Here is a 12,363-nt window from a genome sequence, read left to right as displayed (position 1 = left end):
GAATACAAGTTAACTCTTGTCTTAAGGTGTGGGTGGTTTTGGAAGGATTCTCAGAGGAACACGACTAGGATCTCATAAGTACAAATGATTATTTGTACAAATTTTCCCAGCTGTGTAAATTTCCTGTACAATTAGTTGTTTTTGTTATGTTATATATTTTTAAGAGCTAAGTGTTTATTAAGTTGGTTCTCCTTGAAGATGGGAATGAGTTTTGTGTTTAAAAAGTAGCAGGCAGGCTGATGGACAGGTATTGTGTTGGTGCACCACATACTATAGCTGTGAATAAAACAGATACAGACCCTGCCTCCAGATGCAGAGGCTGCCTCCAGAATATCTAAAGCATAATTCTAGTCTTTTGTCCTTCCCTTACTTCAGGTACCTCTTTACGTATGTAATTCTCTCTCATAGCCTCAGTTTTCCCAGGTATGAAAGTAGGAGGCAGGATGAGATTATCCCAAAGTGTCAGCATCTGACCTCTTATTAATTAAATATTTCTTTTATCGCCCACAGTCCTAAATCACTAAGTTCTCAAGAAAAGTCAATTGCTACTTGCCTTGTGGGAATAAAATAGATTAAAAACCTTATTCTGATATAGGTCCATTCGAGGTTCCTGGAGAATGGCACCACTTTCTCGGGGAAGATATTTTTGCCTAATTGGATATATTCATTTGGAAGTAAGAGGACCTAGAAGAAATGAGAAATAAAGAATATCAGGTTCTAAAAATATTTATTATGTAAGTGCTGAGGCTCATATCTGGGAGAATTATATCAGTCTTACGAGATTCTATTCCTGTATAGGTGCCATAACTAAAAGTTCTTTGTCCCACAGCTACGAACAAGGATATCACTCTCACAGGATTTCTACCTATTCTATTTTTCTACGCAGCACAAAACTTGATTATTTCTTTCTCTGGAGACAATGACTACTAATAGTAATAAAAGTAATCCATAAAGATGATTAAACCATAGTTATAATTTGTAACCTAAATACTGTATAAATTCTCAAACTATTGCACATGAAGTATCTACTTGTTCCTCCCAAAAACAATATCACGTAGGTTATGCAGAGGTCATTATTTTCATTTTGTATATAGGGAGCTGAGATTTAGAGAAGATGATGAACACATTTGAATTTTCACAGAAAAGAAGATGCAGAGTCATGATTTTACTGATGTTTTCACAACATCAGGATATTGCAAAATATTCAATAATGAACAAAATGAGTCAAAACCAAAGGTAAGCCACAGGGTAAGGGTAGATAATTGCAATACACATGCTAACAAAGGATTTATATCCAAAATATATAAAGAACTGCTACTAGTCAATAAGTACAAGACAGACAACTCAACAGCAAAACTTGGGCAAAAAGCCTGAATAGAAACTTCATAAGAGTATATTTAAATCACCGATAAACTTAAGAAAAGTTGTTCAGCTCCATTAGTCATCAGGGAAGTGAAAGTTAAAATCACAATGCAATGTCACTATGCATTAACCAGAATGATTCAAATGAAAAAGGCAAACATATCTAAAGTTAGTGACCATGTTGAGCAACAGAAACTCTTACACACTGCCTGCAGGAGCATATGTTGTTGCAAACACTTTGGGAAACTGTTTGGCAGTGTTGACTAAAGTTGGACATTTTCATATCCTATGACCCAGTTATTCAGTCCTAGGTACCTAAATGAACACTTGTCAACATATATCAACAAAAGAAAATCATCTTTGAGAATATTTACAGCAACACTATAATGGTCTTAAAGTAGAATAATATAAATATTTATCCACAGAAGGACAGATAGGCAAACTGTGATGTGTTTATATAATAAAATATTATATAGCAATGAGAATGAAAGACGCAACTGTAGTCAGCAACATTAATTTATCTTATAAACATTGAGTTAGTGAGAGAAGCCCTAAGCAAAAGAGTGCCTAGAGTATAATCCTGTTAATACAGATTTTAGCAAGAGTTAAAAGTAATCTTGGTGATAGAAATTAGAATAATAGTTACTTTTCGGGTGCAGAGATCAGATGAGGGTACAAGGGATTCTGGGAAGCCGATAATGTTCAATTTTATGATATGGATGCTGGTTATACAGGTTTGTTCAAGTTTATGAAAATCCATAAAACTGCACATATGTAATTTGTATACTTTTGTGTATGTGTGTTATTCCTCAATACAATTTTACTAAGTTTAACAAATAAAGAACGGAGTCATTAGGACACAAGGAATATCTCTGTATGCCAAGAAGAGAGATGACTTCATGAGAAATTACCAACAAGTTTTGGGGTGGCTTAAGAAAGTACAGCTGAGGAAATGAAGAATGAAAAAGGGGTATATCAGTATGTGAATAGACCACTGGGCACCTGCTCAGATGAAAAATAAAAAGGAACTGATGTGGGTTTAGTAAATTTCTGAAGGTCCAATAGTTTGCAAGTGGTTCAGCTGGAATTCCAATCAAAATCGTTTTATTCCCTAGCTCCTGCTTCTTCAACTATATCATCCCAGCAGGCAATATTTTACTTCAACCCTGAAATAGTGAAGAATAGGAAAAGCAGAAGGAGGAAAAAGAGTAGATGTCATCGAAAAATGATGTTAAATATTGGGTTAAAGTCAGCCTTTCACTATAAGCTCTGTGAGGATGCAGTCCGTATTTATCTTGCTAGCCTCTCTTGACCCAAGAATAGTTCTTTAATGGAAAGAATGCATAAATGAGTTAATGAATGATTGAAAATAGAGGAGAAAGAAAACAGACTTGGGAAGATTGCCACCCTCCATCAAACTAACAAAGTCTTTTGTTTTCTTTGTTTTTTTTCATATTTTAAGTTAATAAATGAATAGAAAATTATATATGTAATTACATATTTATGTAATTATGTAATTTTGTTGTATATATACAATTTTATATACACAAGTATATACAAACACACACATAATAATGTGTGTGTGTTTATACACCCACCCTATACATACACACTTACTTGGCCTACAAATTCAGGGATCTCAATATCCCTAATTACAGCTTACATTGCAGGCTACACAGAAGCACTGCTGATTTCAGCCCTGGCAGGACTCCTGTTTAAACATACTTCCCAGAAATCTTGGGCAGCTTGCCATGGTAAGGAAACAATTTACGTCAGATTTTGAGTAGGGGAATCCGTCAGGGGTGGGGAGGAAGGCGGGGGTGGGTCGTTAAAGGTGGTAAGATTGAGGCTTTTCATAGACCCTACAGCTGATCATTATTTTCCTGATCCACTGGAAGGACAGAGTGGTTATTATTCCTCTTTGGCTTACCCTTGCCTCAGCAGCTCTGCTCAGAAAGTCAATGGCTGCCTGAAGATTCCTCTGGGGATACCAAATGAGTCTGGCTATGACGCTAAATAATTTTTCTCTATTTTTTTCTGGCTGTCTTGATGGTTTGCCATAATTAAGATATTTCTTTTTGTTAATTACGGATGGCCTTTAATGTTTCCTTTAGTTCAAGACTGAGGTTGAAATGACCTCAGAATGATTTAGTCAAACTTGTTCCTGTTGGAGGAATTATTTGCATGACAACAAAAAATCATTCCCTATTCAATAAACATATATGAAGTGGGCAGATATTGTTAGTATTCTACCTAATGTTCAACTTCCTTTCCTTTTTTCAGGCTAGCAGCCCTCTCATGTTATTTTTTTTCCATTTTGAGAGGGAGCATTGTATCCACATCCAAGCAATAAATTTTTATTGGTGTAAGTTAATCTCGACAATCCTATTCTCAGCATTCTTGGAAGCTCTAGTGTATCTTAGTTCTGCCCAAAGAGGCCTAAGAAAAGGAAGTTTTCCTGCAGAATTCTTTTTTTTTTATTTTTTTTACTTTTTCTTTTTTTTTTTTACTTTTTAAAAATTTATTATTATACTTTAAGTTTTAGGGAACATGTGCACAATGTGCAGGTTAGTTACATATGTATACATGTGCCATGCTGGTGCGCTGCACCCACTAACTCGTCATCTAGCATTAGGTATATCTCCCATTGCTATCCCTCCCCCCTCCCCCCAGCCCACAACAGTCCCCAGAGTGTGATTTTCCCCTTCCTGTGTCCATGTGTTCTCATTGTTCAATTCCCACCTATGAGTGAGAATATGCGGTGTTTGGTTTTTTGTTCTTGTGATAGTTTACTGAGAATGATGATTTCCAATTTCATTCATGTCCCTACAAAGGACATGAACTCATCATTTTTTATGGCTGCATAGTATTCCATGGTGTATATGTGCAGATTTCTTAAAAAGGTTTTGATTTTCTGATAAAGAAGGACAACATACTGCAATGCCCTTTCTCATTCTTGTCTGGAATGTGATAGTTGCCAACTTGTGACCATGAGGATAATGGCAAGAAAGTTAAAGACACTATTGATGTACTGAACCAACATAAGCAATCACTTTCTCATTCCTGCCTGGAATGTGATAGTTGCCACTTTGCAACCATGAGGATAATGTCAAGAAAGTTGTAGATATTATTGATGTATTGAACCAACACAAGTAACCACTTAACTTTAGAGATCTTTTCATACTAAGAAAATAGAAGAAGTCACTGTGGCCATGTTTTTGTGTTTCTTAGAAAAGAAATACACATTCAAAATATACTATATTCCAGGCATTGTGTTAAGAAAAGGATTGGTAGACAGAGAGATGCACTGTTGAGATTACCCTTCAGGAAGGACTTGCTACCGACTACAGGGGACAGGAATCAGCAGACATCCTCCAGCCATCAGCTTCTTCAGGATCTACCTCAGCGTCAAGGAACCACCTGACCTGAGGTCTCATTCTTCCTTGGGCAGACTACATCTTATAACAAAGTGAGGTAAGGGCATAAAAACCGCTCAGGTGGGGTCACTGAGGGATACTCTGACAGGTAATACTAACTCGAGAACTCCCCACCAAGCTGACTCTTGGTTTAGTGTGCATTGCATTAGTGATCTTGAAAGGCAATAGCAAGGAAGAAAGCTCCTGCCCAGAGCTTTGAGCATTGCCCCTGGTTATCCATTTTATGGATATCCATTTTGTGAGAAAAGATAATTGGCCAAGGTTAGAATATATATGGACACATGGACAGGTGTAAATGGCCTGGCAGGCTGGTCAGTGATGTGGAAAGAAAGGCATTGGAAGACCAGAGGCAGGAGTTTTGGCTACAGGCATATGAATGTGCATTTGGAAGTAGGCACAATGTATCATTGTACAACAGATGAACAGCCACCTGAGAGTACCTACCATCAGAAAGGCACTAAGCAGCCAAGGAGACAAAATGATTAGTTAGTTGATATCAACCAGCTTCTTTCATCAGCAACCCCAGTGTTGGTGTGATAGGCACATGAGCGATGTGGCCAAGGTGGCAGAGATGGAGATTACGCACAAGTCCTACGGCATGGACTCCCACTGACCAAGGCTGACGAGCTACTGAAATGGCATGGCAATGGATGTTGGATGATCCAGCAGAAGAAATAAAACAATGAACTCTTGACATAGCACCAATCCTTGACAAGATGAGTTGACCACATCAGGCCTATTCTGTTCTAGATAAACCAGTGGTTCATTCTCACAGGAACAGACACAATATTTTGGGTTAGTATTAGCCTTTATTACCTTTGAAATTTAAGCAACGACCACGATTTGAATGCTTACAGCATGATATGCTAGTGTGGGATTCCTAACATTGTATCAACCCAGAAGACCCACTTTATAGCAAAGGAGGGCTGGAGGTGTTCTTGTGTTGAGCAACAGTGCACTCTCCTAGGTGATACCTCTCAGTCCCATGGCATAATTTGTGACACTATTTTACAACTGTTGGTTCATAAATACATACTAGGCATTCCTGATCCAAGTGTCTTGTTTTCCCAGCTCTCTAGAGCAGGTTTTTGGACAAGAAGATAGTCACCCCTATTTTAACGCCCTGCTCCTGCCAGAGGACAATTCTGTACTATTCTGTGCAATAGTGCTTATCAAATTAGCATTAACAGCTTAGGAATGATTAGAATAATAATAGTAATCATTAAAATTTAGGAAACATTTGGGGATTTGAAGTTAGGACTCAAAATTCATTAGGTTTATTGATATAATTTATCAGTCATAAAACAAGATCTTACATGAGTTCTGTGCACACTTGTTTTTCCATAAATGTACTTGTGATAATGGACAATAATGAAAAAATATGCCCAGGGATTCTGGAGACATGGCTTAAAATCAGATGCAATGACTTTGACTTTTCTTCATGCCTCATGTCTCATTTTAAAATTTTATGTAAATTTTGTCTTTTTATTTTATAATATATCCATTTATGTCTTGTTATAAAACAATCTATCTCCAAATCTTAATAAAAATAAATGTTCAAAGAAGATGTGCCATATTGCCCCTTTGTCCTCATTATTTTCCTTCATACCATCACATCTCCTTGGTGAATCCTTGGACTCCTAGAAACTACTCGGAAATGGAACAAAGATAAAAGTAGCAAGAATGCAGAGGACTGATCACTGGAGAATACTTGTTCAAACAGAGGAAACAGAAAGAGAAGCTATAAAGAAGGCTGAGAATGCATAGTTAGAAGGATAAGAAGAGATTACAGACAGAGAAACTGAGAAAGGACAGAGTTTAAACTACAGTGTCAGATAAAGCAGGAGTCAACTTGTGAACTTTGAAAAAAGCAGAAATAGAAGCCATAATAATGTGGGTTAAAGAATGAGTGGAAAGATATGTAAGGTTGACTAAAATTAAAAACTCTGCAGTGGTAAAAAGATAAGAGTCAACAACAAAGGAGGGGCAACAAATAGATGAGAGTAAGGAAGGAGGAACTAAAAGAGCATGTTCCCCCTGAATCTAAAATAAAAATTGGAATTACTAAAAAAAGAAGTGAATACAGTCAATGACTAAGCAATATCATTAGATATTGATTATTAAGCCAGGGTCCATTTTATAAATGAAAGATAGAGAATATAAATATAATAGGAATGAAACTGTTCTTGTGTGTCATCACATTTTCCCCCTGTGAAGGAAATTTCCAAAGACAGTAAAGTCCATATCAGTACCTTCCTTAACAAGAAAAGGGAGTAAACACGAAACATCTTTTAGAGGCAACTTTGGGGAACTTGTATAGGAAAGTTGAAAGAGTCTAGGGTTTGGGGATTAGAAAGATTAAGATTTGATTCTCAAACAGCAATAATTAGAGTAAATATTCATTCTCTTTGGACCTTAGTGTTTCATTCCATTACAAAGGGCTAATGATTCCTGCTTTAAGGGTTGAAATGGGGGGTTGAATAGGATTTCCTGGCACTCTAAATGCTGAGTCCCCATCTTTAGTTCAAAAGCCTCAGATTGGCCAATGAAAGCTGCTGTTTGTCCTGTGCTACGTTAATGACCCTGACCCAATCCCTATTTCCATATATACTACATGGATCTATTAACATATCTTCCCTCTGACTGTCCAGTTTAAATTCAACAGATGAAACCATGACTGTTCTGTGTTACATTTTAGATGTGAGGATGTACACAGCTACCCTGATTGAGTTTGGATGATTTCCAAGTTTCCTTAGGAAGACATTTACGTGTCATGATTTAGGAAGGACTACTTCTGTAAAGGTCTGTTTATTATTCATAGATCGATTTTAGTCTCTGCCAAGTACCTTTCCTCACCTTGTTCCAAATTTTGAGGGACTCATAATTTATTCAACAAATTCTTATAGAACATCTCTGATGTGCCAAGAACTATGTGAACTGTTGGGAATTCACATGTTAATAAGATCTGGTTTCTGGAGATGAGGTGTCAGGCATACAAACATTCTGTGCAAATAAAAATATGGTCAGTGCTAAAATAGTATTATAAATAACATTTTTGTGTCATTCTCTGAATCACAGTATCTCCTTCAGATACTGTTAGGGGGAAACCCAATTTCCTTTTTTTAATCCCATTGTATACATTTATGGGGTACAATGTGATGTTTTGATATATCTATATAATGTGGCATGGTTAAATTGAACTAACTAACATATCTATCACCTTGCTTGCCTGTCATTTATTAGTATGAAACATTAGAAATATACTCTCATAGTTATTTTGAAATATATAATACGTTATTATTGACTGTTACCCTGGTGTGCCATAAATCTCAAAACCTATTCCTTCTATCTGCAACTTTGTATCCTTTGATCAACAACTCCCTATTGGTGCCACCCCTGCATACCCTCTGATAACAATCTTTCTACTTCTATAAGTTCAACTGTACTAGAATTCCCATGTTAAGTGAGTTCATGTGGTATTTGTCTTTCTTTCTGTGCTGGACTTACCTCACTCAGCATAATGAGATTTCTCAAAAGAAAACAAAAATGGACAATAGGTACATGAAAAAATGCTTAGCATCACAAATCATGAGAAAAATGCAAATGAAAACCACAATGAGATGTCACCTCACACCTTTAAGAATGCCTTTTTTCAAAAAGATAAAAGATAACAAGTGTTGGAGAGAATGTGGGGAAAACAAAACTCATAACTCATACATTGTTGGTGGAAATGTAAATTAGTATAACCATTATAGAAAGCAACATGGAGATTCCTCAAGAAAGTGAAAATGGAACTACCATAGGACCAGTAATCTCACTTCTGGGTATGTAGCCAAAGGAACTGAAATTAGTATGTCGAAGGGATATTTGTACCTCCAAGTTCATTGCAGCGTTATTCACAATAGCCAACTGTGAAAACCACCTAGGTGTCCAGCAACGGATGAGTGGATACAAACAATGAAATACTCTTCAGCCTTTAAAATGAGGGGAATCCTGTCATTTATGATAACATGGATAAATCTGAAGGAAGCACAGTTTCTAATTAACATATTTCCAGGAGGAAACTTCCACTATCAGGAGAGAAATTAATTAGGACAGAAACAGTTCTGACTTTCTGTGCCACCCTCCTCACAAAAGAAGCACCTGATCTGAATGTGGAATTTGGAAAATCAGATCTACAAGTACACAGCTTTGGTTTTCTTTTCTCTTCTTCCTCCTCATTGGCAGGTCTACAACTGTCCAGCTACTTAATACAGGAAGATAAGTTTAATGTGATGGAGGTGGTGGTGGTAGAAGCAGCAGTTGAAAGGCTTACCTTGACAAAGGGTAAAGCACTTCCTCTAATTCACCATCAACAATAATAAAAGTATGTTTTCTATACATTCCTCAGATTCCCTTGTGGATTATTTTTTTCTGCAGTTATTAGATTCATAGTTGTATTAGTCCGTTTTCATGTCTGAGACTGGGCAGTTTACAAAAGAAAGAGGTTTATTGGACTTACAGTTCCACATGGCTGGAGAGGCCTCATAATCATGGAGGAAGGTGAAAGGCAAGGAGGAGCAAGTGACATCTTACATGGATAGTGGCAAGCAAAGAGAGAGAGCTTGTGCAAGGAAACTCCTCTTTTTTAAAACCATCAGATCTCGTGATATTTATTCACTATCATGAGAACAGCATGGGAAAGACCTGCCTCCGTGATTCAAACATCTCCCACCAGGTCCCTGTGGGAATAACATGTGGGAATTATGGGAGCTACAAGATGAGATTTGGCGGGGGGACACAGAGTCAAACCATATCAACAGTTCTCTGTGTGGAGTAATTCATATTTATTATTCATAATATTTAAATATCACAAATTCTTACTGAATTTATGTCTGCTTACCTTAATCAGAACTTTACAGACATATGCATTAACTTCTGCCAAGTGACTGAATTTGTCTATTTCTCTTAGTTCTGTTAGTACTTGCTTTATAAAGTATTTTGAAGCTATGTTATTAGGTGGATACAAATTTTGCAATGGTACATTTTCCTTAAAGGTTGATGCTTTTATAATCAAAAACCATACCTTTTAATATTTAGTAATTTTTTTTGCTTTAAAAATTACCGTGGAACTTTGGTTTCTGGTTCTGCATGTAAAGAGCTTGAAAGTCACCACTCCATCCTAATAATAAGGGAAAAGCTGAGCAACTGAAAAATCAACATGGATCAATTCTTCTTAGATCTATAAGAGAAGTAGGTCACAGGGCAAACTGCTGCCTCTAAAGCTGGAGAGACAGGCAGATGAATACAGAGAATCACAACTCACTGGAGCAGAAACTCAGGAGCAGAAATCCCCATGGGAACCAGTGCTGGAGTTGGGAATCCAGAACCGTAGTTGACAAATTGCTGGTGGTTCAAAGTAGACAAGTGTGAGACTTAAAAACTCCTGAGGGACCTAGTCATAGGGGGGCCCCACACTTTTGTGAGTTTTGTCTCAGGAATTCAACCAGGCTCTCATAGTAAATATGAGAGAAAAGTCCTCTCTTATTCTGGCAGGGGGAGGGGAAAAGGAACGATTTTGAAATATATCAGTGCACTCTGTTCTCAACAAAATCTGTCCTCAGAGAAATTAGCTAACTAGAGCCTGCCAGAGTTTTATCTCAGCCACACTGACCAGCAGGAAGGGAAATACCCAACTTCAGCCAGCTCCAGCTTTCCATGTAGAAACACCTGAAGTAAAAAAAAGAAAGAAAATAAAGAAAAAGAAAACAAACCTGAGAGGCATTTATGAAGTTCATGAGCCAGAGGTGTGGGGTTCACTAAAAGACTGAGACTTGGTTCTAAGACTATAAACACTGCCCATCCCCCTACATTTTACCACCACTAAAGGCCTTATTGTAACAGTTCCTTTTACCAGTATCTCATGTCTGGCTATCAATAAAAAAATTACAAGATACACTAAAAAGCAAAAAACACAATTTGAAAAGACAGAAGAAATATCAGAACGAGGCCTGGTAGGGATGTTGGAATTATCAGACCAGGGATTTAAAACAACTATGCTTAATATGATAAGGGCTTTAATGGATAAAGTAGACAGCATTGCAAGAACAGATGCACAATGTAAGCAGAGAGATGAAAATCCTAAGAAAGAACTAAGAAAGAAATGCTAGAGATAAAAAACAGTGTAACAGAAATAAAGAATGCCTTTGATGCTCTCACTAGTAGACTAGACATGGCTGAAGAAATAATCACTGTGCTTGAGAATATATCAACAGGAACCTCCCAAACTGAAAAACAAAGAAAATAAAACTAAACTAAAAAAGGGAACAGAATATTCAAGAACTGTGGGATAACTACAAGAAGTGTAAATACATGAAATGGCAGTACCAGAAGGAGAACAAAGAGAGAAAGGAAGAGAATAAATATTTGAAACAAAAATGACTGAGAATTTCTTAATTAATGTCAGACATTGATATAGGATAATGCTTTGTAATACTAAATATCTCAAAATGGAGTACTTATGACAAGTGATTCAGCTTATAGTGACATTACTGAACCCTCAGAATGATGAATGTATGTATGGTGGATTGAGGTAATCAGATGTCACCTGCTGTGGCCAGACCTTTTTGAGACCTGACAGGAAAGTGAAGCCAAAATACAGCTAAAGATAATGGCCATGGACACTCCTGTGGAGGGGCATAAAAACTGCAAAGAGACTGACCATGGCAAGGTGCTTACAGAATCTCTGCCCATGAGAACACTGAGGCCTCCTTTCCTTCTGCTGTTGTTGCTAGAGCTCTCCTCTGAGAAAAGAGCAGCAACACCCCCATGTCCCCATGGATTGCTCCCAACCCCCAGTGTATTGGTGCTGTCCTGTCAGCATGTTGGTCTCCCTAGCTGAGCTACTCTCTGTGGTTCCTTCCCTAGTACCCTCCTCCCATTGTGTATATTGAATATATTTGCATAATTTGCATAATGTGTGAAAGGCTTGAAATAAACTGTGAATTCGTAAGCATTTTATTGGCCACTGAGTCATGAGTTAGCACAACTAGGCTAATTAGAACCTGGCACAAGAGACACCAAACCAGATTCATGAATTTCAGGGAATACCAAGCAGGATAAATGCAGAAAACTATACCTAGCAATATCACACTCAAACTACAGAAAATTAATGAAAAAATTCTGAAGGAATCCAGTGGAAAAAATACTTTATCTATAGAGGAGCAAAGATAAGAATTATATTTGACTTGTCCTCAGAAATCCTGCAAGTAAGAAAAGAGTGAAAGAAAATATTTAAAGAGTTCAGAGAAAAAAAAAAAACCAACCTGGTATTTTGTAGCCTGTGAAATTATTTTTTAAAAATGAAAGAGAAACAAAGACTTTCTCATACAAACAAACACCGAGGGAATCTGCAACCAGTAGACCCTTGATGAGCGTTTAGATTGATTCCATGACTTTGATATTGTGAATAGTACTACAATAAACACAAATGCAGGTGTCTTTTGATAAAGTAATTTCTTTTCCTTTGGGCATATAACCAGTAGTGGAATTGCTGGGTCAGATGGTAGTTTTATTTTTAGTTCTT

The 12,363-nt window shown here is 37.0% G+C and overlaps 1 long non-coding RNA gene across 1 annotated transcript, besides 1 other annotated feature; it reads left to right on the top strand.

Annotated features, from left to right (window-relative positions):
- Positions 1-11,793, top strand: LOC124902024 (uncharacterized). The gene is made up of 2 exons (XR_007061112.1): positions 1-3,116; positions 4,630-11,793. It is a non-coding gene; the product is annotated as an uncharacterized LOC124902024 (long non-coding RNA).
- Positions 8,449-8,508: an enhancer, noted in NCBI's record as "active region_27963". NCBI's record gives its function as "activates an Ori minimal core promoter by ATAC-STARR-seq in GM12878 lymphoblastoid cells {active_cell/tissue: GM12878}" and the evidence as "EXISTENCE:reporter gene assay evidence [ECO:0000049][PMID:35858748]".
- Positions 11,794-12,363: the final 570 nt, after the last annotated feature.

This window comes from Homo sapiens, chromosome 8, assembly GCF_000001405.40.
Source record: "Homo sapiens chromosome 8, GRCh38.p14 Primary Assembly".
Lineage (NCBI taxonomy): Eukaryota > Metazoa > Chordata > Mammalia > Primates > Hominidae > Homo > Homo sapiens.
The sequence above is the reverse complement of the archived record's forward strand: the minus strand, read 5'-3'. Positions and strand labels throughout refer to the sequence as shown.